Raw genomic sequence first — 26649 nt, forward strand, 5'->3', positions numbered from 1 at the left:
TAGGCCCTTATCAGATATGTGATTTGCAGATATTTTCTCCACTTGGCAGATTGTCTTTTTGCTTTCTTGAGAGTGTGCTTCAATGTAAAAAAAGGTCTTATTTTGATGAAACTCATTATCTAACTTCATTTCCAATGCTTTTGCTTTAATATCCATGAAATTGTTGCCAAATCCAATGCCATGAAGATTTACTTCAGTGTTTTCCTTGAGAGTTTTATAGTTTTAGCTCTTAAGTTTAGGTCTTTGATTCATTTTGAGTTAATTTTTTACAGGTGTAAGGTGAGCTTTAACTTCATTCTTCTGCATATGGATATCCAGTTTTCCCAGTGCCATTTGATGAAAAGACTGTCCTTTACACAGTGAATGTTCTTGGCACCCTTGCCAAAAATCATTTGACTGTCTATGTTAAGCATTTATTTCCAGGCTCTCTTTTCTATTCTGTTGGTCTGTCCTGATGGTAGTACTGTACTGTTTTAATTACTGTAGCTTTGGGGTACATTTCAAATTCAGGAAGTATGTATGAGTCTTCTAATTTTGTTATTCTTTTTCCAAGATTGTTTTTGCTATTTGGGGCCCCTTGCAATTCCACGTGAATTTGGGGACCTGCTTTTTCATTTCTGCAAAAAAAAAAGCCATTGCAATGTTGACAGAGATTGCATTGAATCTGTAGATCATTTTGATGAGTATTTACGTCCTAGCAATGTTGTCTTTCTATCTATGAACATGACATTGGCTTTCCATATATTTGTTTCTTGAACTTCTTCCTCAATATTTTGTAGTTTTTAGCATACAAATCTTTCACTTCCTTGGTTAAACTTATTTCTAGGTATTTAATTCTTTTGGATGCTATTGTAAATAGAATTGCTTTCTTAATTTCCTTTTCATATTGTTCATTGCTGTTGTATAGAAATACAAATACCGATTTTCACATGTTAATCTTGTACCCTGTAACTGTTGAATTTTTGTATTAGCTCTAGTAGCTTTTTGTGTATTCTTTGGAATTTTCTCTATATAGGAACATGTTACCTGTGAATAGAGTTTTACCTCATCCTTTTCAATTTGAAAGTCTTTCATTTATTTATTTTTTGTTGGTTGTCTCTGTTGCTGTCGCTGGAACTTGCAGCAGAGTGTTGACTAGACATGGCAGCAGTGGGCACTTGTCTTCTTCCTGATCTTGGGGAAAATGTTCAGTCTTGCCATTGAGTATGATGTTAGCTGTGGGTTTTTCATAAATACTTTGTATTACTTGAGGAATTTTCTCCCATCCTTGTTTTCCAAGAACTTTTTTTCTGAAAGGGTATTGCATTTTCAGAAGCCCTTTCTGCATCGATTGAGATGATCGTGTGGGTTTTCTCCCTTCGTGCTGCTACTGCAGTGCACGACATTGACTGATTTTCTTATATTGAACCACCCCTGTGTTCTTGGGATAAATCCCACTCGGTCATGGTGAATAGTCCTTTTAACATACTATTCCCTGACTTTCTTTTGAGGCTTTTTGCATCTGTAGTCATAAGGGATATTGGTGTGTAGTTTTTCTTTACTCACAATGTCTTCATCTGGCTTTGGTATCTGAGAAGGGCTGGCCTCCTACCATATGTTAGGAAGCGGTCCCTCCATTCCAGTTTTTAAAAAGAGTTTGTGAAAGAGATCTATCTACTCTTGTGACTTCTAAGCATGGACACATTTCCTGGCCCAGTCCTGGTTCCTCCTCCCCTCTGTCCACACACTTAGTTCCACCTGTCTAGACACAACTGTGTGGTAGATGGTTCTAGAACCACATCTCTAACCCAACCGCTACTCCAAGCACCAAACTCATACAGCAGTCAGTCCACTCAGTATGTTCAATAGGCATCTCAATCTTAATATGGCATTTCCCCCCAGACATGCTTCTCCAGTCTCTCCCATCTCAGTCAGTGGAAACACCTTCCACCTGCTGGTCAGGCCCCAAATCCTTGAATTGCTGTGTTGGTGCTGACTCGTGACTGCAGACAGCAGAATCCGCTATAGCTAATTTAAGCAGTGAGGATATGTGTGAAGCCATTGGGTAGATCATAGCATCCATGGGAGAGTCAGGAAACCAGAACAGCGAGAAACAACCACAACCCTGGAGAAACACCCAGCCACGCTGTAGGACTGTGTTAGGGAAACCCCCCTCCCCGTCCCCTGCTGCTCAGCACCAACAATGCCAGGGACGGGACCCAGAAGAACCAAACACCTCAACATCCATCTGCTGTGTCCAGCCCGATTCCTGTGTTCCTTCCACATCTCATGTGGTGCATCTCCTGGCAAAACCGGGCACATCTGCACACCAGCTGCAAGGGATCCCGGAGCGTGGCATTATGGCCTCCAGCTTCTGCACACTGGAGGGCACACCCCGGGGGGGGGGGGCGGTGGCAGGGTCACTAATTCAGTGTCTGCCTCTGTGCTCTTTGGGTTCTGTCTCCGCAGCCAGCTTTTCAGCAGTCCTGCCCCCTCTGCCTTTACAGGTCCTGCTTTGACCATTTCCCATGACCTCTGTCACTCCCCTGGAACCCAACCTCATCACTTTCACCAAGATCAGGCATCCACTTCCTGATCTCCTGCCTCCGCCTGCTGAGCTCTCTGAAATGTAAGTCGGAACAGGTCGCTTCCTTTCTAACTCCATCCCCTCTGAGTGTCCCCACTTTCGCTGTGTTTGTGAGCTCACCAGATCTGCCCCCCCCCCACCCCATAGGGCCTTTGCACAGGTGGCTCCTTTGCCTTCAAGTCCCAGGTAGCTTCCTCTCAGTGTCTGCTCAGCCTGCCCCATCAGAGAGGCCTTCCTTGACCGGATTTGTGTTCTGTCCACTGGTTTATTTCCCTCCACTGGAATGTCAGCTTCCCAGAGATGGGGGCTGTGCTGTGACTACCAGTAGTAGTTGATCAGTAAGTACTTTTTGAATAAACCAAGCTATGTTAATAGTCCATGTTTTGGAAAAACTCCCTAGAAAACATCCCTAATTCCATGGATCCATGGCAAAGAAAGAACCAGATCTGTAGAAACGGGCTGGAGAAGCTCACAAAGGACTCCTGGGCTGAGAAAGCCCCACACGGTCCCACTTTCTTTCTGTATAGTGGAGGTGTGGCAGGGGTGAGCTCCTACCACGGGCCCCAAAGTCTCCAGTAAGAGTGAGATTCCGGGCTGCACCCTGACCAGGCGCCACTGGGTCACTGCTGACCGTCCTGGAGGTGCTGAACAGGGATGAAGCCGTTTATTCTGGAGGCATGCCAGCATTCTTGGGTCCTGCTCTGGCAGGAGCTGTGGGGCCACACAGGCTTAGAAAGGTGGCTCCCATCCTGGACAGCACCGTGGGCAGTACTGTCACGAGGACGGGCTGGGAGGAGGGTGTGGCAGGGGTGTTGGGGGCCTCAGGTAGGGGCCAGCACAGAGGGACACCCAGATACCCAGCACAGAGGGCAGGAACAGGTCAGCTCCCTGCCTGGGCTCAGGGATGGGGCTGGAGGTTCTAGGAAGCAGAGCAAGTAAGCAGGACAGGGAACAGTGAGAACACAGGTGTAGATGGAGAATCAAGGCGGGGCGCAGCCAGGGATTCCAGGGAGGAGTAGACAGAAACTCAAGGGAGGGAGGCCTCGAGGGGATCCCAGGGAGGTGTGGACAGGGATTCTAGGAAGGAGTAGACAGAGACTCAAGGAGGCCTCGACGGAGATCCCAGGGAGACTGACTGCCTGCTGCATAGGAGGGAGGCTCCCAGCTGTGTCCCTGAGCTGCATAGGAGGGAGGCTCCCAGCTGTGTCCCTGAGCTTCATCCACTCTGTAACCTGTGACAAAACGGAGCATTATCTGTCAATGAGCACATCTGTGCCGCAGTTTTTGGGATGGTGCCAGGGTAGGGGTGAGGGACAAGTTGAGGGGACAGGTTGAGGTGGGGTCCCTGTGAGGCCCTCCTGGACGGAGTGGACCTTATGAGACACTCCCTAGCTGAATTCCCAGCAGGAAGCTGGTGCCCAGAGCACCCTGGACTAACGGGCGGGAGAGGGACTTTGTTTTGGGAGGCTCTTTGTAGATCAAGGCATTAAAATTGCACCTTTGGGGAAAGCATGTTCCAGAGCACCAGACACCCCGAGGCACCCTGAGTTGTGGGGGGGGAGGGTGATGGAATTTGGGGCCCTCGCTGAAGCCCTTCATTATCCAAGCCAGGCGCGGGGTGGCACGTAGTTCCCACAGCGGCCCCTGGACGGAGGAGAGGGCCTGGGCCGTCCACACCTGCAGAAATCTGGAGCTGGTCCGCCTAGACCAGGGGAAATCGGGGTCCCGTCCGGGTACACTGGCAGAACTCAGGGGTCAGATCCTCTGCCCTGGAGCATTCAGATTTGTGCCTCTACGTTATGGAAACCAGGGGCCCGTCCGGGTGCAACGTGGCATCCACAAAATGGCAGGTCCCCGAGCTCCGGGCTCCGAGAGAACAAAAGCAGAAGCCACTGCCGCCCGCGCTCGGGGAGGAGCCGCCCAGGTGGGCGCGTCCGGGGCTAGGCGGGAGCTGCGCAGCCGGGTCCAGGGGAGACGCCCCGCCCCGGCCGGACCCTCGGAGCCTCCTAGGGGAGACCCCGGCCCCGCCCCTCTCTCGCCCGGATCGGGCGGGGCCCCGGGAACGCGCGCGGCGAAGGCGGCCTCGGCCCAGTGCACAGCGGGACCAGGCAGAGTTCGGGGAAAGCGTCGGAGTTCGGGAGACCAGGGTCCAGCATGGGTTTCAGCACAGCAGACGGCGGGGGCGGCCCAGGCGCCCGGGTAAGAGGGGGCACGGGGACTGCGGCGGGTGGGGGCGCGAGCGGACGCGGGAGTAGGGGCGGGTGGGGGCGCGGGGGTAGGGGCGGGGTGGGGGGGGGCGCCGGAGTAGGGGCGGGTGGGGGCGCGGGGGTAGGGGTGGGGTGGGGGCGCGAGCGGACGCGGGAGTAGGGGCGGGTGGGGGCGCCGGGGTAGGGGCGGGTGGGGGCGCGGGGGTAGGGGCGGGGTGAAGGCGCGAGCATCAAGGCGGGCGGGCGCGGGGACTGGGGTGGGAGGGGGCGCGGGTACCCAGACGTGCTGGGGGTCCTGGCGTGGGTCCTGGGACCTGCCGGCGGCTGCTGCGGGAACGGGAGGGAGCTTCTTCAGGCACCCTTTTCCTTGTAACCTCGTGAATACTCGGGAGAAGAAATAACGCTTTCTGGACAGATTTGCCCTCTCGGTGCCTGAAGGGGAGCCAGGGGAGGGGAGTCTGAAATCTCATCGCCAAAACTGAGAGTTGCTAAGTTACTCTTCAGCTCAAACCGGTGGGACAGAACAGTGATCTGTGGTGGCCCGGAACAAAGAGAATTTTTACTTAAAAATACCAAGATTGACTTTTGTGTTGGAGTGCTAGTTGATTTGAGTAAGAAACATTTGCTAGTAAAACAAGACAGTTATTTCAGCTTTGGTGAAAGAGTGATAAAGCTGTTTTCAGGTTTTTCATGTGAGTTGCAAAAAGTATATTGGGTTTGCCTTTCCCTGTTTCGTGTGAAACTAAAGAGTGGTTGAGGTGAGGTAATTACACTCTACTCCTGTTACCCAACAGCACTTTTGCCTAAAAAGTTTAGTTGGTACGTCTAGGTGTCTAATTAAGAATTGAAACATATAATTTAAAAATTAAGTTAAATGTCATTGAAACGGTGCATAATTGATACTTTTGACTGAGCCTTAGGCAGCTGGGTGGGTCCTGAATCAAGATTCCTGGGAAGGTAGGTTTCTCAGCTTCCCGAAGAGATTTAATGTAAATCTTCATGTAATGTGGACAAAGGTGAGTTTTAGCTTTCAATTTCCCTGAGCCTGCCTCGAATTCACAAAATTCCAGGCTCTCTGGGTCAGAAGGAACTTCGGAGATCTTGAGGAGGCCGCCGTCTCCGAGATTCTGTGATATATTCAGCATTTCCATTCCCTATGGGATCACAACCCACTGGGAAGCAGTGTTTGGTGACCCCCCCACCGAGAAGTGGGTTCATATTCCTGCTTCTGAGGAGATACCAGGTTTTTATTTCACTGTGCGGCATCCGGTGTGCAAATGCAGATGTGGCCTGGGCTGGGAGCACACAGGCTTGACCCCGCAGGCAGCCGGTAGGCCAGGGTGTCAGGTCCCCTGTGTTAGCCGGAGCCTTCTCATCTTTTATCCTGGTAGAGGGGCGCTGCTGGCCTTTCTGGGGGGTGGGTCTAGTCTGAAATCACCTTTGTGGGATCTGTGGCACTGGCTAGCTCTCAAGCTGGCCGGTGGTCTCAAAGGAATTCTTCGTTACTTGTAAAGTAGCCCAGAAATGCTGGGCTGAGGAAGTAATTTGCCCCAAGGCTCCCTGAGACCTGTATTCACAGGTTGTATCATCCAGCCAAACACAGGAGGCCCCAGATCCCCAGATCTCAGAGATTTTTGTGGGAAATCATCTGAGTCTAGCTCAGACACCACTGCCTCCCTCCTTCCAAACAGAATGAGTTTGTCCTCTCTTTGCGTTTGAACAAAAGTCAGGCCATCTAGAGCCTCCTAACTCTCACCTCAGACCTCCAAGGTGGGGCTACTCATTCTATAGATAGTGGAAATTGAGGCTTCAACACCTGCCCAGCATCTCACTGCCAAGAAGCAGCAAAGCTAGGTTTGAGCCAAACTCAAGGTCCTGGTTCTCCTTCTCCCCTCAAGGGCCCTGAAATTTTGGTGCCTCTCCTGGCTGATACAGCATCAGTGCTTCTGTGCCCTGCGGCAGCGGTTCTGTTCCCCACCTGGGTCGCCCCACACCTGGCAGGGCAGGTGCTCCCTGTGGACAGGCCAGTGCTGTTGGGTCCAGCCAAGACCTCAGGTGCCACGTGTGTGGTGAGGGGCTCCCTTCTTCCACCATGCTGTTGAAGACAGAGCCTCAGACTTTGTCTGACCCGAGACCCCAACGTGCTTCTGAGCAGGGGGAGAGTGAAGAGGGGTAGGCTGGGATGAGTGGGTGGCGGGGCTGGAGGGGGTTGAGAGGTGGCAGGTTCCATCCTGAAAGTGTTGGTTCTGGGCCTGGGAATCTGGGCAGGGGGAGAGTGAAGAGGGGTAGGCTGGGATGAGTGGCTGGCGGGGCTGGAGGGGGTTGAGAGGTGGCAGGTTCCATCCTGAAGGTGTTGGTCCTGGGCCTGGGAATCTGGACTCTGGTAAGCAGAAGGCACCCAACATTTCCCTTTACCTTATGGGGGGCTCTCGGGGAGGTGTCTGTGAAGTGGGTAACAGGCTCCAGACCCCGATCTTTTGTCCAAAGAACAGGCCTGGAATCTTGGAAACCAGCACATCCACCCTCCATGAGCTGTTGTCCTTCGGGCCAGTAGCTCAGCCTCTCTGAGCTTCAGTCTGTTCATTGTTTACAGGAATCATCTGTGCCTCACCTACCTCTCCGAGTACCCTAGAGTCAAACTTGAAAAGAGATGTACACAAGCTTTTAACAAGGAAACACAGTTGCATTCTTCACTTATGTTACTGTCCTTTAACAGAATGTTCCTAAATTGAAAGCTGCCTATGTCGTTGTGATATCTGGGACACTTTTCTGGGCCGCAGTTCACACCTGGGCCCAGGTTCTCAAAGACAAAGCTTTTGAATTCTTTTTGATTGATCTTACAAAATTTCCCCTGACAGAAAATCACATTGTGCAAAAGAGATACTTTGTGGTGAATTTGAATTTCTTTTACATGTTAAAACTGCTTACCTTTCTGAGGCTGACACAGCCTGGACGTGGGTTCTGCACTGGAGTCGTTACGTCAGCCAGGTAACAAGAATATGCCTCCCCTGGAGAAGCTGAGCCTGCCCACATCCACCCTGTGCCCGCCCACATCCACCCTGTGCCCCTCAACTCTGGTACGCCTCACCTAGAGAGGGCTTTCTGGGTCACCCTGCCTTCATCATCAGCCCAAAGCCTCTCCGGCCCTGGGGAGGGTCTGCATACGATGGTCAGAGCCGACTTCGCCATGCCCTGTCTCTTGCCAGATCTCGTTTACCCGGGCAGCACTGCCAGTTGCTTCATTCCCCGGCTTCTGTAGTGCTCAGCAATCTGTCCTTCCTCTCTGGTAAAGCCCAGATTCCCTCCCTTCCCAGCCTTATTCTAAGACAAATTTGCCTTTGGTGGCTATGCAGATGGGCAGAGCCTGCCCTGTGGGACTCTCCTTCCGGGCTTGCCACCTGAACATCATTCCTGAGATTGTCAAGAATAAAAATGACCCTCCCCTCCAGTGTCTAGTGGAGGGAATGACCCACCTCTAGTGTCCAATGGAGGGGACTACCAACCCTTCTAGTGTCTAGTGGAGGGGACCACCAACCCCTCTGGTGTCTGCTGGAGGGGGATGACCCACCTCTCTAGTGTCCATTGGAGGAGACCACCCACCTCTTCAGTGTCTGCTGGTGGTGATGACCCCACTCCTCAAGGTCTAGTGCAGGAGGTATAGTTTGGTGGAAACTTTTGCCTGAAGTTCTCACTTGCCTTCAGGTAGTGACATACTTCCCTGCATTCACTGGGACATCGGGGGATTGGAATGAGTTTCTGAAAGCTCTTGATCCCTAACTTTTGGTATAATAGACTGAGACAAAGGACATTTGGTGTGGGTGGTGGTGTTACAGTGGTTTGGGATTCAGGCTGTGCACACACTGGCCCAGGTCAACTTTTGGTTTTCCCAGTGAGAGGGAGGGGAAGGCCCTGGTCCTCACCTTAATCACCTTTAGTCTTGAGTGATAATAGCTTTGCAGTGTACTTTGCAGTGTGTGGAGCACAGGAACTGCTCAATAAATGTTAGCTATCATTCTATGATTCTGAAATGAGAGAGATGGAGATTTTTCTAGAAGTAAGGAAAAAAGAATGAGTTCCAATTTTTTGTCAAATTTCTTAGGGAAAAATATTCAATGAAATTATTTTCAAGTTGTTTATACTCAAAGATATCACCAAGAAATAGGAATTACAACTGTAATATGTAGGATTTTAGCAAAACAATCATGTAATATTTTAAAGAAGTGTTTTGTAGAAGTGCCCAAATTATTAGGCAGTGAACCCTTCTGAGTTCAAGGGTTCCTGAGTTTTCTTTATGGATTGTTGAGAAAGATTAAAGAAGACCTCACTGGAACAAGCATTTAGTCAGTCTGTAGGACCACATTGGGCATAGGAGTGAATATTCATGTGTCTGGAGGCTGGAGCATTCCATGGCAGCAACCCAGAGAATCACAGTGACCACTCATGCCTCCAAGACAAAGATACCTTCTCCCCAAAAGACAGTATTTAAAAAGAAAAGCATAGGGAAGGGGGTTGTTTGGGAAAGTTTACAGCTAGGGTGGGAGTAATAAATACAAGGAGAGCAACAGTTCCAACAAATGAGAAAAAAAAATTAGCACAATTTCCACAAGGTACTAGGACTAACTTTCTGAAAAGAATTTAGCAAAGTGAAATTTACATAACGTAAAATCAACCATTTTAAAGTAAACAGTTCAGTGGCGGTCAGTACATTCACAATGTTAGGCAACCACCACCTCTTTCTAGCTCCAGACCATTTTCCTTATTCCAAAGTCAAACCCCTTACCTGTCATTCAGGCTCCAGATGATTTTCCTCATTCCAAAGTCAAAACCCCTTACCTGTCATTCAGGCTTCAGATCGTTTTCCTCATTCCAAAGTCAAAACCCCTTACCTGCCATTCAGGCTCCAGATCGTTTTCCTCATTCCAAAGTCCAAACCCCTTACCTGCCATTCAGGCTCCAGATGATTTTCCTCATTCCGAAGTCAAAACCCCTTACCTGTCATTCAGGCTCCAGATCGTTTTCCTCATTCCAAAGTCAAAACCCCTTACCTGTCATTCAGGCTCCAGATCGTTTTCCTCATTCCGAAGTCAAAACCCCTTACCTGTCATTCAGGCTCCAGATCGTTTTCCTCATTCCAAAGTCAAAACCCCTTACCTATCAAGCTGTTTGTCCACATTCCGTCCTCCCCAGCCCCAGGCAACTCATCTGCTTTCTGTCTCTATGGATTTATCTATTCCGGACATTTCATATCAACGGAATCGCACAATATATAGGGTTGTGTGTCTGGTTTCTTTCACTTAGCACGACGTTTGTGAACCTCATCTGTTGCACCATGTGTCGGTATTTCGTATCTTTTCATGGCTGTATAACTCTCCGCTGTGTGGATAGACCACAGTTGTCCATTCATCTGTTGATGGACATTTGGACTTTTTCTTTTGGCTTTTGTGGATAGTGCTGCTGTGAACATGTGTTTACAAGTTTTGTGTGTGTATGTATATTTGCATTTCTCTTGCAGATATACCTCAGAATGGAATTTCAAGATTCTGTCACAGTTCTGTGTAACTTTTTGACAGACCACCAGACTCGCTCCATAGCAGCTGCACCATTTCCATTCCCACCAGCAAGTGCACAGGTGCAATTTCCCCACATCCGCACCAACACTTGTTCTTTTATATTTTTTACATTATTATTATGGCCATCCTGGTAGGTCTGAACCATTATCTCAGTGTAGTTTTAATTTTCATTATATCTATATATCTTTTGATCCATTATCTATTATTATTCAGTTTATCTATATTTTCTTTTGTTGCTCATGCTTTCAGTGACATATTTAAGAATCCATTGCCACATGCAAAGGCATGAAGGTTTACCCCAATGTTTTCTTCTAAGAATTTTATGGTTTTAGGTCTTGTGTTTAGGTTGCTGATCCATTTTTAGTTAACTTTTGTATGTGGTGTGGGGTAGGGGTCTAACTTCATTCTTCTGTATGTGGTTATTCAGTTGTGTCAGCATTCATTCGTTGAATGAATTATTTTTTCCCCATTTTCAGCCAGGGTCTTTGAACCCTGGGTTTGTTTCCAGACCTCAATTCTATACCCTCAATGTCAATTCTTCTTTTGTCAGTACCACATTGTTTACTGTAGCTTTTTTTTTTTTTTTTTTTTTTTTTTTTGAGATGGAGTCTCACTCTGTCGCCAGGCTGGAGTGCAGTGGCACGATCTTGGCTCACTGCAAATTCTGCCTCCCAGGTTCAAGCGATTCTCCTGGCTCAGCCTCCCAAGTAGCTGGGACTACAGGCATGTGCCACCATGCCTGGCTAATTTGTGTGTGTGTGTGTGTGTGTGTGTGTGTGTGTGTGTGTGTGTTAGTTTTAGTAGAGAAGGGGTTTCACCGTGTTAGCCAGGATGGTCTTGATCTCCTGACCCTCATGATCCACCCGCCTCAGCCTCCCAAAGTGCTGGGATTACAGGCGTGAGCCACCCCGCCCGGCCGATTACTGTAGCTTTGTAATAAGTTTTGAAATCAGGAAGTCTGAGTATTCCAACTTGAATTTTCCTTTTTTTTTTTTTTTTTTTCAAAAAAAATTTTTTGGGGACCGGGTGTGGTGTCTCATGCTTGTAATCCCAGCACTTTGGGAGGCTGAGGCGGGTGGATCATGAGGTCAGGAGTTTGAGACCAGCCTGGCCAACAGAGTGAAACCCCGTCTCTACTAAAAATACAAAAAATTAGCTGGGTGTGGTGCTGTGCACCTGTAATCCCAGCTACTCGGGAGGCTGAGGCAGGAGAATTGCATGAATCTGGGAGGCGGAGGTTGCAGTGAGCCGAGATCGCGCCATTGCACTCTAGCCCAGGTGACAGTGCGAGAGTCTGTCTCAAAAAAAAAAAAGTGTATATATATATATATATATATATATATATATATATATATATATTTTGCGATTTTGGGGCCCTTGCAATTCTATGCGAATTTGAGGATCATCTTTTTCATTTCTGCAAGAAAGACCGTTGCAGTTTTGATAGGGATTGCACTGAATTTATAGATCACTTTAGGTAGTGTGGACGTCTTACATGTTAAGCCTCCCAATTCATGAACACACAATGTCTTCCATTTACTTGTGTTTTCTTTAATTTCTTCAGCAATGTTTTGTAGTTTTCAGCAAGCAAGTCTTTTACCTTTACGTTTAAATTTATTCCTAGGTATTTAATTCTTTTAGATGCTATTGTGAATGGAATCATTTTCTTAATTTCCTTTTCAAAGTATTCATTGCTGGTGTATAGAAACATAACTAATTTTTGTGTGTTGTTCTTGTACCCTGCAACTTGGCAGAATTTATTTATTAGCCATCTAGCTTTTTGTGGATGTTTTATATTGAGGATTGTGTCATCTGAACACAGAAATGGTTTTCCTTCTTCCTTTCCAATTTGGATGCCTTTTATTTCTTTTTCTTGTTTGGTTACTCAGACTAAAACTTTCAGGACAATGTTGAATAGAGGTGTAGAAAGCAGGCATCCCTATTTTGTTCTTAATCTTGGGGAAAACTTTGAGTTTTTCACCATTGAGTATATTAGCTGTGTGTTTTTCATAAATACCTTTTATCATATGGAGGAAGTTTCTTTCTATTCTTGGTTTTCTGGGTCTGTTATCATGAAAGGGTGTTGGAGTTTGTCAGATGCCTGTTCTGTGTCACTTGAGATGATCATGTGAGCTTTTTCCTTTGTTCTGTTAATGTGGTGTATTACATTGATTGGTTTTCTTACGTTGAAGAACGCTTGCATTCCAGGAATAATTACCACTTGGTCACAGTGAATAATCCTTTTAATATGCTGTTAGATTTGGTTTACTAGTGTTTTGTGGAAGATTTAGAACTAATTTTTTGACTCTGCTCTTAAATCTCATTACGTTATATGAAAATATATCTTAAAAATGTAAATTTTGAAATAAGAAATGACCTCTTTGAGAAACAAGTTTGTGCCAAAGGCCAAAATATAAAATTACTAGAAAGTCTGCAGAAGTTAGTAAAACTAATGCATAAGACTTCAAAATGTAGGTAACTGGAAAAAGGTCTGTAGGGGAAAGACTGTTGTGAGGTTAATCCATATAAAGCCCTGGAAAAAGCCTGTAGGGGAGAGACTGTTGTGAGGTAAATCCATATAAAGCCCTGGAAAAAGCCTGTAGGGGAGAGACTGTTGTGAGGTAAATCCATATAAAGCCCTGGAAAAAGCCTGTAGGGGAGAGACTGTTGTGAGGTAAATCCATATAAAGCCCTGGAAAAAGCCTGTAGGGGAGAGACTGTTGTGAGGTTAATCCATATAAAGCCCTGGAAAAAGCCTGTAGGGGAGAGACTGTTGTGAGGTTAATCCATATAAAGCCCTGGAAAAAGCCTGTAGGGGAGAGACTGTTGTGAGGTTAATCCATATAAAGCCCTGGAAAAAGCCTGTAGGGGAGAGACTGTTGTGAGGTTAATCCATATAAAGCCCTGGAAAAAGCCTGTAGGGGAGAGACTGTTGTGAGGTTAATCCATATAAAGCCCTGGGAAAAGTCTGTAGGGGAGAGACTGTTGTGAGGTAAATCCATATAAAGCCCTGGAAAAAGTCTGTAGGGGAGAGACTGTTGTGAGGTTAATCCATATAAAGCCCTGGAAAAAGTCTGTAGGGGAGAGACTGTTGTGAGGTAAATCCATATAAAGCCCTGGAAAAAGTCTGTAGGGGAGAGACTGTTGTGAGGTAAATCCATATAAAGCCCTGGAAAAAGTCTGTAGGGGAGAGACTGTTGTGAGGTTAATCCATATAAAGCCCTGGAAAAAGTCTGTAGGGGAGAGACTGTTGTGAGGTTAATCCATATAAAGCCCTGGAAAAAGTCTATAGGGGAGAGATTGTTGTGAGGTTAATCCATATAAAGCTCTGGAAAAAGTCTGTAGGGGAGAGACTGTTGTGAGGTTAATCCATATAAAGCCCTGGAAAAAGTCTGTAGGGGAGACTGTTGTGAGGTAAATCCATATAAAGCCCTGGGAAAAGCCTGTAGGGGAGAGACTGTTGTGAGGTTAATCCATATAAAGCCCTGGAAAAAGCCTGTAGGGGAGAGACTGTTGTGAGGTTAATCCATATAAAGCCCTGGAAAAAGCCTGTAGGGGAGAGACTGTTGTGAGGTAAATCCATATAAAGCCCGGGGAAAAGCCTGTAGGGGAGAGACTGTTGTGAGGTAAATCCATATAAAGCCCTGGGAAAAGCCTGTAGGGGAGAGACTGTTGTGAGGTTAATCCATATAAAGCTCTGGAAAAAGTCTGTAGGGGAGAGACTGTTGTGAGGTAAATCCATATAAAGCCCTGGGAAAAGTCTGTAGGGGAGAGACTGTTGTGAGGTTAATCCATATAAAGCTCTGGAAAAAGCCTGTAGGGGAGAGACTGTTGTGAGGTAAATCCATATAAAGCCCTGGAAAAAGCCTGTAGGGGAGAGACTGTTGTGAGGTTAATCCATATAAAGCCCTGGAAAAAGCCTGTAGGGGAGAGACTGTTGTGAGGTTAATCCATATAAAGCCCTGGAGAAAGTCTATAGGGGAGAGACTGTTGTGAGGTTAATCCATATAAAGCCCTGGAAAAAGTCTGTAGGGGAGAGACTGTTGTGAGGTAAATCCATATAAAGCCCTGGAAAAAGTCTATAGGGGAGAGACTGTTGTGAGGTTAATCCATATAAAGCCCTGGAGAAAGTCTATAGGGGAGAGACTGTTGTGAGGTTAATCCATATAAAGCCCTGGAAAAAGTCTGTAGGGGAGAGACTGTTGTGAGGTAAATCCATATAAAGCCCTGGAAAAAGTCTATAGGGGAGAGACTGTTGTGAGGTTAATCCATATAAAGCCCTGGAAAAAGCCTGTAGGGGAGAGACTGCTGTGAGGTTAATCCATATAAATCCCTGGAAGAAGTAGTAGGGAAAGACTGTTGTGAGATTAATCCATATAAAACCCTCTAGTAGTGCCTGACATATACTAGAACTCACATCAGTTTCTGTCATTTTATTATTGTTATGAGTATAATTAAGCTTTTTTTTTTAGGATTTGACTATATTTTGTAAATGGAAGTACTGCTACCAAAACCAGAATGCTATAAATAGAATGATGTCTTTTGTTTCCAAAGTTGACCTACTAGAGCAATGTAAATAAAAATAATAATAAAAGCAAGATATTTTGGTGGGAAAGTTATCTCAGGGTAAACACTGCAACCGCCAGTGCTGTGGGTGAGTATTCTCAGGGCAAATGGGTTAAAAGTGTGTGGCACCTGCCCCGTCTCTGCCCGTGCTTCCGCCTGTAAGACACGAGTTCCCCTTTGCCTTCTTCCATGAGTCAAAGCTCCCTGAAGCCTCCCCAGAGGCAGAGGCTGCCGTGCTTCCTGTATGGCCTGCAGAACGCTGAGCCAATTAAGCATCTTTTCTTTATAAATTATCTAGTCTCGAGTATCTCTTTATAGCAGTGTGAGAACAGACTAATACAGACAGCACCAACACTAACACTAGCACTAACACTCCACCAATGGCTTGGGCCCCCTTGGAACTCCTAGGGTGCTCACGGATTTGGGGCCCTGCCTGGGCGACATCTGTGTGACACGTGGCTTTTTTCTGCTGAGTCTGATGCTGGCTGTGTCTGACCCTCGGGTCTTGGAGCCGGTGGTTATGGTAAGCAAATCTGTTAGAGGCTTCTTGCTAGCACATCTGGCTGAGGCTCCGGGTGAGGCATCAGGAAGTTTGCACCCCTCCATTGCAGAGTTACCGCTCTGTTCCCTCCCTGGGCCCGATCCTTCCCTGGCCCAGGACAGGAGCCTTGCCCTGGGATGGCTGCAGTGTTGTCTGTCTTCAACCTTGTGAACTTGCAGCCAGTGCATGGGGTGGGGACAGACAACACTTGCTGTGTGTGAAGTCAGATGTTCCCACCCAGGTCCCATCGCTCCCACCAGGTGCATCCTGTGAAGTTCAGTGCTGTTGTGAGTGGGTTTTCCCGGGTGCTTTATTCTCATTTTTCCTTTCCCATCTTTGTTCCTGGGCTGACACAGTTTTCAGGGCTCATTTTATTTTTTCTGCTTGGATTCAAACACTGAGAAATTGAGGAGGGGGTATAGTGACCCCCACTCTGGGAGAAGAGGAGATTCAACCCTGCAATGATCAGAGAATGCACCGCACGCAGCGGTTTCCCCAGTTTTCCCTGCATTTGTCTTTACACAGCTGTGTACATTGCCCCACCCTCGACTCTGGATATACTGCCATTTTCTGGATATACTGCCACTTTGCAGAATTCCTGCCAGATCCTTTTCTATTCCTTCTTAAAAATTGATGTGTGATAGTTGTACATATTTTGGGGTACATGTGATATTTTGATACATCTATACAAAGTGCTGTGATCAGATCAGGGTAGTTGGGATATTCATCACCTCAAACATTTTTCTTTTGTGTTGGGAACATAATGATTCTCTTCTAGCTATATACAGTAATCTATACAACAAATTATTAACTGTAATTTGCCTACTGTGTTGTAGACTACTAGAACTTATTCCTTCTATCTGACTGTATTTTTGTACCTCTTAACTAACTTCTTTCCTGTCTTCCTTTCCTTCCCCAGCCTCTGGTAACCACTAGTCTACTCTCTACCTTCATGAGATCCACTTTTTAGCTCCCACGTGTGAGTGAAAACTTAGAAGTTTGTGTTTCTGTGCCTGGCTTATTTCACCAAACCACAGCCCAGTCCCAGCACCGATATTCCTAAACAACCTCAGCCCAGTCCCAGCACCGATTCCTAAACAACCTCAGCCAGTCCCAGCACCGATTCCTAAACAACCACAGCCAGTCCCAGCACCGATTCCTAAACAACCTCAGCCAGTCCCAGCACCGATTCCTAAACAACCACAGCCAGTCCCAGCACCGATTCCTAAACAACCTCAGCCAGTCCCAGCACCGATTCCTAAACAACCTCAGCCCAGTCCCAGCACCGATTCCTAAACAACCTCAGCCCAGTCCCAGCACCGATTCCTAGACAACCTCAGCCCAGTCCCAGCACTGACTCACTCACAGATGTGCATGTGCCAGTAACTTAATTGCCAGAAAAAACTCAACACTCTTAAGACGACAAAATCCAGCTCTTAACATGCAGTATCCACCGTATCCAGCATATAATAAACATTTTTCTAAAATACGGATCCTTCAAGGAAGAAAATTATTATAAAGGGGTATAAATGTTCCAATATTAATTAAGTTGACAACCAGTAACCCAATTTAAAGTGGTATTAAAATAATTTTCTTCATCGCAATAGATAATAAAGCTGATTTTTTTTACACAATTTTGAAAAGAGGAAGAGGGCTGTATTAATCACCGTACAGTATACAAGGTAATTTTGATAATCATTTTTCTGGTGAACAAGGCCCCATGGCGGCCTTGCCTGGCCTCAGGCAGAGTCTCTGATAAGTTGTTTGACATCCTTTGAGCTGCATTTCAACCACCATTGCCGCTCAACTCAGATTAAAAGCTGAAAGATGCTTTAGGAAAAGCACAACAATCATGCGTAATTTAAATCATATCTGTGGTTTTTCACTAACACCATAAATTACAACCTTCCTGCTGTAAGACTTCAAATCAGAACAAGGTGCCAGCTCCCTCCATGGTGGAGAAACACTGCACAGGGGGTGAGGGCTGTTCCAGTTCTGGTGTTCCCGTCCTGAAGGTGGAGAAACACTCCACAGTGGGTGAGGGCTGTTCTGGTTCTGGTGTTCCCATCCTGAAGGTGGAAAAACAGTGCACAGTGGGTGAGGGCTGTTCTGGTTCTGGTGTTCCCGTCCTGAAGGTGGAGAAACACTCCACAGTGGGTGAGGGCTGTTCTGGTTTTGGTGTTCCCGTCCTGAAGGTGGAGAAACACTCCGCAGTGGGTGAGGGCTGTTCTGGGTTCTCATGCTCCTGTCTTGAAGACTTCTCCATGAGGCTGATTCCCGTCATGGCTGTGGATTCACAGCTGTGGCTGGGGGCCCTGCTCAGAAGCTGCTTTGGAAGGGTGTTAGGTGAAATTTCAAATCCAGTTATGCAAATACACAGTATAGCTCCACTTACCACTTTTGTACCTACTCCTATTTATATTGTTAAATGGAATCTGAAGGTGTTTGAAAGAAACCATATTGATGATTTACGTGGAATCTGCTGTCAGATCTACAATTTAGAAAAATTAGTTTCAATCATCTTGTCAATGGTATCATCCAGAATTAGTTATTTCTCTTTGGAAACATGCATGGCAGTGGTTTGGGGAGGCCAGGTGTACTGTTTAAAACAGGATCCCAGACAGACCTGGCAAAGCAGCTGGCCTCAGACAAAAGGGAATTCGCTTTTCGTTTGAAGTTGGTTTATTCTGGTTTCATTCAGCCGTGCTGCTAGCAGCAAAGCCAGCAGACCCTTGGAGGAACAAGAATGCATTTTTCCCTTTGAGACCTGAGAAGCTGTACATCTAATTAAGCCGACACATTTTGAGGACTTTTTTTTTCTACCTAATGGTTTTCAAGACGACGTAAGCAGGAAAGAATGGTTGTTATCAACTGCTCTCCTGCAGAACTGTAACATACGGCAGCTGTAGAAGCTGGGGGGGCCCATGAGCCGAGCACGCACCCGCCGCCTCTCTGTCCTGCTCTGTCGTGGGACCAGGTATTGATGGAAGGCAGCAATTTCCCTAATTGGACGCAATGGTAGAAAAGTTAGATTTGGTATAATTAAGACTATAGGAAATTTTCTTTTAGATTGGTGTAATCTTTTCTGCCTAGCCATAGTTTGGAATGAACAAACCCTTACTTCCAGCTAAGGTCATATTCAGCATAAAGAACCCAGCTCAGGACTGATTGTGGTTAACATCAGTCTTGCACACTTTTTGTTGAGGGCCTTCACCACTGTAAAAATTCTGAGGACCCTTGTTTTGAGTGTGAAAGAACTGGGCATAGCATATTGTGGTTCTCCTCCTAGTTATTTTCAGTTCCTTGAGGAAAGCACGAGTACTGCTGCTCCAGGAAAGGCATCTGGGCAGGTTGGAGTCTGTCTCCGGGGGCCTGACAGCTCCCCCATCCAGCCCTTTGTTTTGCAGAAGAAGGTTCCAGTCCTCAGATTAAAATTTTACTGTTTAGATTTCATGATAGAAATTACCTTCCTAAATGCAGAGTTATATTAAAATACTTGCATATTTATTTATTTCAAGGTATTTTGTTCTTAGTTTGGCAGAAAAATCTGCCAACAGTACTTGGTGGCCGATTTAACGAACATGTAGAACTGCACTTTGTAATTGTCCACAGCGTGCTCACATTTCAAAACCTGAAACAAATTTCAGTTAGAGGTTTTTGTCAGGACCCCACTCTGCAAGCTCCATGCATTGCTGAATTTACGAGTGGCTCCCCCTGCAGCAGGGTGAGGGCTGAGAGCAGACGTAGGTGTTGACGTGAGAGCCGGAGCCCAGGGTGGCTGCACAGGCAGGGACAGGAGGAGTGTAGCTGCAGTTTCTGAGTTCTGTGTGCACGTGTGTGCCCACAGGGATATTGAGGTGCCACGTGCAGCTTCTGTGTGTGTGTGTGCACGTGTGTGTGGTGAGAGATGAGGTGCAGGGCGCAGTTCTCGTGTATGTACGTGTGTGTGCACGCACGCAGGTGTCTAGGTACTGTATGTGTGCCCACATGTGGAGACTCATATGCAGGATGCAGTTCTTATCCGATTCTTTTCCCGGCAAGGCCTGCTCAGTGCAGACATGGGAAGAGGCTGGAATCTGCAGCTTCAGGGGCTGCCCCAGCAGGACTTGTGGATGTAGACCCACCTCTCTCGGGCTTTAGGGTTAGGCATAATGGCTCATTATTAATGCTCAGCCAACTGTAAAGCTGCTCCAGGTCCTGCCCATCTCTGCCTGCTGGAGGAGGTGCCAGCCCTGCTGAGGCGGCCACATGTACCCATCAGTCACAGCCCCTGGGGCTCACTGGACAGGGCCTACTTGATGTTTGCTGTCAGGGACCCTGGACCCCAGAGACCCCATGCTTGGCCCTTCTGGGATCCACTGCTCTCCTCTGCTCTGGGCCCCATCCTGGGCACCCAGGCCCTGGCTCCACCCTGTCCTGCCATTGTAAGTTGCACGACGTTGCCCCTGAGGCCTCCAGCAAGCCTGGACAGCCCTGGCCTTCCTAGGAGGAAGAAGGGGCTGCTAGGCCTGAAGGTTCACCTGGGAGAGTCTTGGGTGCTCCCTTACCCATCTGCTCATGCAGCGAGACCTTCTTACCCTCAGGTGCTGCTCAGATGCCTCTTCTTCCGGGAAGCTGGCCTAGACTCAGGGCGCTGCTGAGGGCTCACTCTGGTATCCCACCTGCCCATCCCCGCCCTGGGTCTGGCCTCACCCTGAACTGTGAGTCCCTGGAGGACGGGGGTTGCCCTGGGCTGGGGCTTGGTAGGCATGTGTCAGTGAGGAGGGGAACTGAGCCAAGGCTTTCTCTGCACTTGCCCTGGTGTGGCCAGGAGCTCTGGCTGGACCTCGGTGGGGCTCATCAGAGAGCAGCTAGCATCACCACCTGGCCCACTAGCTCCCAATGCAGTGATCCGGGTGGGGCTGGGGCACCAGCTTGGGTCCAGGTGTGCCAGGTTTGTATACCTGGGCTTCAGGGATATAGGAATTAGAGTGTGGTGGAGTGGAGCAGCACCTTTCTGGCACAGTAACCACATAGGCTCAGGGAATTAGAAGAGAGGAGGCCTCGAAACAGAGACTACCAGCTTGACCCCAGACTCTGGAGCACCCAGCCATCCCCTGCCACCAGGTCCTGCGTCTCCAGTGGGCTTCCCTTGTGGATTGGGTTGGTTATGGGAATCGGAAAACCATTTCAGGGGAGTAAGACATTTGCTGGGTGAAGCTTTTCACCAGGACCTGGGAATCTCTCTAAATCTACTCAGGTGATAAAGTCAGTGCATTAGGAACCAGGGATGATGTGGCTTTTGGTGATTGCTGAACTCTTCAAAGAACGTAGAACAGAAACCCAGAGAGGCAAGGCACACTCCCTTCCTTCCCCCTTGCCGTCCTTCCTTCCTGGCACCCTGTTGTACCAACTTCGGGCCAACGGAACTTTTAGCCTTAGAAGCGTCTTCAGCATCTCCAGCGGAGAGGGTCAAGAATCCAAAATACACAGAAGCCTGAGTGGAAAGCAGGGCTGGTGTAGACAGACTGGGTGCAGATGGCTGGTGTAGACAGACGGTGCAGATGGCTGGTGTAGACAGACTGGGTGCAGATGGCTGGTGTAGACAGACTGGGTGCAGATGGCTGGGTGTAGACAGACTGGGTGCAGATGGCTGGTGTAGACAGACTGGGTGCAGATGGCTGGTGTAGACAGACTGGGTGCAGATGGCTGGGTGTAGACAGACTGGGTGCAGATGGCTGGTGTAGACTGAGTGCAGATGGCTGGTGTAGACAGACTGGGTGCAGATGGCTGGGTGTAGACAGACTGGGTGCAGATGGCTGGTGTAGACAGACTGGGTGCAGATGGCTGGTGTAGACAGACCGACCTGCACACCAAGCCCTGTTTGGGACGAGGCTTCCTAGACAGGTTTTGATTCAATGGTGGTTTCTGACTGCACAGACAGGAAACCAGAGATGGGCACGGGTACCTGGGCCAGACGCCAGGAGCCATCACTGGGTCCTGATGGGCCTGAATGGCTGTGACCAGGTGGCAGCCCAGAGCGAGCCTCCTGGGGGTGTGGGTTTCACACCTGGCTTTCTCATTCACCACCCTGCTGTGCTAAGAAAGTGGCCATTGATGGGAACTGGGGCAGAGCAGGGACAGTGTGGGTCCCCCGCTGTCCCCAGGGCCCTGCTTGAAGGAGCCACGGGTGTCTGCTGCCCACGGATGTCTTGCTTTTTGCAGGGAAATCAGGAGGTCAGAGTTTGAGACCAGCCTGGCCAACATGGTGAAACCCCATCTCTACTGAAAATAGCAAAATTAGCCAGGCGCGGTTAGTGGTGGTACACACCTGTAGTCCCAGCTACTCGGAAGGCTGAGAGAGGAGAATCACTTGAACCCGGGAGGTGGAGGTTGCAGTGAGCCTAGATCACACCACTGCACTCCAGCCTGGGTGACAGGGCAAGACTCTGTCTCCAAAAAAAAAAAAAAAAAAAAAAAATCCAGCCAGAGGCAAAGGCCACAGCAGTGAATTAAAAGTACCTCCCATACCCACCCCCAGGTGCCACACCCTGGGCTACAGCATTGTGGGTATCACCATGTGTTGGTGCCAGAGGGACACGCTAACCCACGGGTGACACAGAAGCTGGGCTGGGCTGGGCTGTGTCCCCTGTGGGCGTGGAGCTGCGAGCCAGGGAGTGCAGATAGGGTGAGAAACAAGCATCTTAACTTTAAAATGTTACCCTCGTTTCAATAAAATTTTAAAGTTAATTGGGAAAATAAATCCTTCATTGAAGAGTGAAGCTTTAAAATGGGTTTTCGGACACCGTCTTCCATTCCTGCTCTACCGCCACCGCCCCATTGGCTAAGTGATTGCACAGAGTTCAGGGCAAAGCTCAGCGAAGTGCCAAGGGACTGGCGGGCACCGGAACTGTACCAGCTGCTCTGCAGCACACGTGCACACACTGGTTGCTCTGCAACACACATGCACACATCCACACAATCAGCAACACACGTGCACACACCCACACAATCTGCAACACGTGCACACACCGGTTGCTCTGCAACACACATGCATACACCCACAAAATCTGTAACACACGTGCACACACCCACACAATCTGCAAGACACGTGCACACACCCACACAATCTGCAACACACATGCACACACCTGTACAATCTGCAACACACGTGCACGCACCCACACAGTCTGCAACACACGTGCACACATCCAGTCTGCAACACGTGCACACACCGGCCACTCTGCAACGCACATGCACACATCCATACAATCTGCAACACATGCACACACCGGCCACTCTGCAACACACATGCACACATCCACACAATCTGCAACACACATGCATACACCCACACAATCTGCAACACACGTGCACGCACCCACACAGTCTGCAACACGTGCACACACCGGCCACTCTGCAACACACATGCACACATCCACACAATCTGCAACACACGTGCACACACCCACACAATCTGCAACACACGTGCACACACCCACACAATCTGCAACACACGTGCACACATCCACACAATCTGCAACACGTGTGCACACTGGCCACTCTGCAACACACATGCACACATCCACACAATCTGCAACACACGTGCACACACCCACGCAATCTGCAACACACGCGCACACATCCACACAATCTGCAACACGTGTGCACACACCGGCCACTCTGCAACACACGTGCACACATCCACACAATCTGCAACACACGTGCACGCACCCACACAATCTGCAGCACACGTGCACACATACAAAATGCAACACGTGTGCACACACCAGCCACTCTGCAACAAACGTGCACACATCCACACAATCTGCAACACGTGCACACACCCGCACCGTCTGTCCCTCAGTGAGGCTCATGATCTCGTAAACTGGAAGGCCCTCGGGTTTGAAGTCAGCACACGTTTGTACATTTGGCAGAAACAAGAATCCTGAGTTCTACAAAGACAAGAAATTGGGCTGAGCTGGTGGACCTGTGCTTGCAGGTCCCCTGCCCTGTGTCTGCTCTCTCTCCTGGCCCCGAGGCCTGGACACAGCTGGCAGGGGTTCCTCTGTCCGTACACTGCACCTGGCCAGGCTTACACTCCTTCGGAGTCCTGCACACACACTGCAGCTCCCTCATCATGAGCAGTCATCTAGTGGCACCCCCAAAGGTGCTCCCCAGAATCGGGATGCTGCAGACACATCAGGCCAGGAGACAGCACACACTCCGCCCTCAAAGGACACAGGACTCAGGAGCATTCGAAGGCTGCTATGAATAAACCTGGTTCATGGCTCACTTGGGTTACTCAGCACCTCAACCTACCCAATTCTCAGTCTGCAGGCAGCTTCCCTGGGGCAGCTCTGGCCTGGCCCAGGCCCTGAGTGGCCCCAGTGGGAGTCATCCTGGGGAGGTGGTGCAGGTGGGACCCACTGAGTGGAGCATGGGGCCTGCCCCAGTCACCATGGAATCAGGCAGAGGTAGGGTCAGGGCTTGACAGCGCAGTGCACCAGCCATCTCCTTCCTTATGTCGGGCGGTTGAGACGGTGGCCCTGGAGAAGGTGGCCCTGGACAGAGCTCTGGGCTGCTGACCACATCTGGACTTGAGGGTGGGGGAGGAATGGGCCTGGATTTGGGAATCAGAGAAGTAGGAGGACGTCTCTTCCGGGGATGGCCCAGTGTCGGCATTTCAGCTCCTGCAGAATACGTCTCTCCCGGGGATGGCCCAGTGTCGGCATTTCATCTCCTGCAGAACAGGCCTCTTCCGGAGATGGCCCAGTGTCGACATTTCAGCTCGTGCAGAACAGGCCATTCGAGATGCCTCTCCTAGATCATGTTCCTCTTCCTTCCTGCCCATTTCTCCTGTGTCAATTGAGCATTTGCCCCAAATCCTAAAGCACAGCCATCCTGGTGCCCGATGTGGGTGATTCTGTCCCCGGCCTGAGACAGGCCCACTCATTCTCATGGACTGTGTGACCCTGGCCTGAGACGGGCCCACTCATTCTCATGGACTGTGTGACCCTGGCCTGAGACGGGCCCACTCATTCTCATGGACTATGTGTTTGCTGTGTGGCTCAGGTGTGATTTGAGTTTTTGGAAATTAGATCACATAGCATTTCTGCATGAACTCAGACTGTATTTAGATCATTCCTGTCAACAAGTGAGTGGCCCTGTCGGGTGAGTGAGAACGAGCCAGTGTGTGCAGGGAAGGGAGCTGACCCATGGGGTGGCAGGGCCGGCAGGAGGCTCTACTGTGGGACACAGGACTCAGGAACCCAGCCCTGAGCTTCCCTGAGTCACGCAGTTTCCAGAAGCTGAGCTCTGCTGCAGGTACCTCCAGTCACAGGCCCAGCTGACAAGACAGACCCTTCTCCCACTGCAGGCCAGAGGAGTCCCTGTTTTATTTTCAATTTCCTTAGGAAATTATCTGTGTGATTAGCTATTCAGAGGTGTTTCTCATGTAACTGTCGTGCCATTATAAAAACTGACTTCACAATTTTTAGCTTCTTTGGCTTTCACTGCCTTGCAGTTCTTTTCTACAGACATGAGCCTTGTGGTATTTCCTCAGGGATTGTTACTCTAAAAACAGCATTACAAATTTTTAAACAAGAATCATTGCCTCTTCATAAAAGCATGTTGCACCAAAATGCCAAGCGGAAGTCAGTGGCCAATGATCCTGTTTTTAGGGTGCCAAATGGGCACAATTCAGCAGCCTTGAGGAGGGCACCCTAAGGTTTTCACCATCAGTACTGTTTAAATGAAAACAAAATCATCGACACAATTAAAATGTATTTGCTGTGGGATGAGCTTGTTTTCTGAGAACAAAGTGGCGCGTGGGCCAGCTTTGTCCTCCCCACAAGTGGTTGTCCCCTCCTCCCTGTACAAACCCAGGAGAGCCGGGAGGAGCAGCTCCCGCAGGACTCACAGCCCCACCCCAAAGACCTTATGCTGTTCAGGTGCAGGGGATGAAACTTACCCTAAATCTAGGCTTGGTTGTGCCTCAGTGTGAGTGTTATAGGAATGGCAGCCCACATTTATAGAGGTGGTATATAGAGCCCCTGCCCCAGGACAGGGCCACGGGTCTGCCTAATGCACCTGCCCCTCTGCTGTGTGACAGCACAAGGAGAACCACCAGGAGCTCGCCCTGCACCATGGATTCGCCTGCACATTTTGTCTTTCTCAGTTAACTCACATCATGCCAGACACAGGACAAGGGACTTCCGTGTGGATCCTTCAGTGCCAGCCTTGGACTGTGGTGTGCACCTGTCTTGAGTTATGTCCCTAAAGTTTCTGAATTCTCTCTTTCATTTCAGGATCTGGAATCTCTTGATGCCTGTATCCAGAGGACGCTCTCTGCCTTGTACCCACCGTTTGAAGCCACGGCAGCCACGGTGCTCTGGCAGCTGTTCAGCGTGGCCGAGAGGTGCCACGGTGGGGACGGGCTGCACTGCCTCACCAGCTTCCTCCTCCCAGCCAAGAGGGCCCTGCAGCACCTGCAGCAGGAAGCCTGTGTGAGTACCTCCCTTGTAGCTCTGAGACCGTGGCCAACCTGGAGGAACCTGCCCTTTCCCTGGGCAGGGCAGGAATTGGGCCCATCAGGGCACTGGCTCAGTTCTTTCCTCTGGCTTCTGGCTCCTCCCACCCTCATCCCAAATGAAGGGTCAAACAAGGCTGCATGTCCCAGCAACAAGGGTTTCTCAGGCTTCCCAGGAGTGTGGAGCCCTCTTTGTCCCCCACCCCCAATAAACTTGCACTGCATTCTTTGAAGGAAGTAAATAAGTCATTCTTCAGAGCAGGTATCTCAGAACTAAGTTACTACAGCAGTCACAATGCCGGCCCACCTGGAAGGGACTGTACTGAGCACTTCAGAGCTAAGTTACTGCAGCAGTAACAATGAAGGCCCACCTGGAAGGGATAGTAGTGAGAACCTCAGAGCTAAGTCAGTGCAGCAGTCACTGTGCAGGCCCACCTGGAAGGGATTGTGGTCTCAGTTCCAGACCAGCAAAGTAAGGCAGATACCACGCTAATGCCAGACACACAAAGTTTTTGGTTTCCCAGCGCATATACAAGTTACGTTTACACTATAGTCTAAGTGTGCAGTAGCATTAGGTCTAAAAACAGCATACATACCTTAATTTTAAAATATTGATCAAAAATGCTAATGATTATCTGAGCCTTTGGTGAGTCATAATCTCTTTATTGGTGGAAGGTCTTGCCTTAATG

The 26649-nt window shown here is 48.8% G+C and overlaps 1 protein-coding gene across 1 annotated transcript in view, besides 2 other annotated features; it reads left to right on the forward strand.

Annotated features, from left to right (window-relative positions):
- Positions 2857-3696: an enhancer, noted in NCBI's record as "H3K27ac-H3K4me1 hESC enhancer chr5:90483-91322 (GRCh37/hg19 assembly coordinates)". NCBI's record gives its function as "activates a minimal SCP1, AML or CMV promoter by ChIP-STARR-seq in naive H9 embryonic stem cells {active_cell/tissue: H9 hESC(naive)}" and the evidence as "EXISTENCE:reporter gene assay evidence [ECO:0000049][PMID:30033119]".
- The window catches only part of PLEKHG4B (pleckstrin homology and RhoGEF domain containing G4B), a 97799-nt gene continuing 75806 nt past the window's right edge, over positions 4657-26649 (forward strand). Inside the window, exons 1-2 of the mRNA NM_052909.5 lie at positions 4657-4765; positions 25740-25937. Coding sequence (NP_443141.4) covers positions 4721-4765; positions 25740-25937 — 243 coding nt within the window. The 5' untranslated portion in view covers positions 4657-4720. The remainder of the gene's footprint in view (positions 4766-25739; positions 25938-26649) is intronic.
- Positions 12253-12788: an enhancer, noted in NCBI's record as "NANOG hESC enhancer chr5:99879-100414 (GRCh37/hg19 assembly coordinates)". NCBI's record gives its function as "activates a minimal SCP1, AML or CMV promoter by ChIP-STARR-seq in primed H9 embryonic stem cells {active_cell/tissue: H9 hESC(primed)}" and the evidence as "EXISTENCE:reporter gene assay evidence [ECO:0000049][PMID:30033119]".

This window comes from Homo sapiens, chromosome 5, assembly GCF_000001405.40.
Source record: "Homo sapiens chromosome 5, GRCh38.p14 Primary Assembly".
NCBI classification, from domain to species: Eukaryota; Metazoa; Chordata; class Mammalia; order Primates; family Hominidae; genus Homo; species Homo sapiens.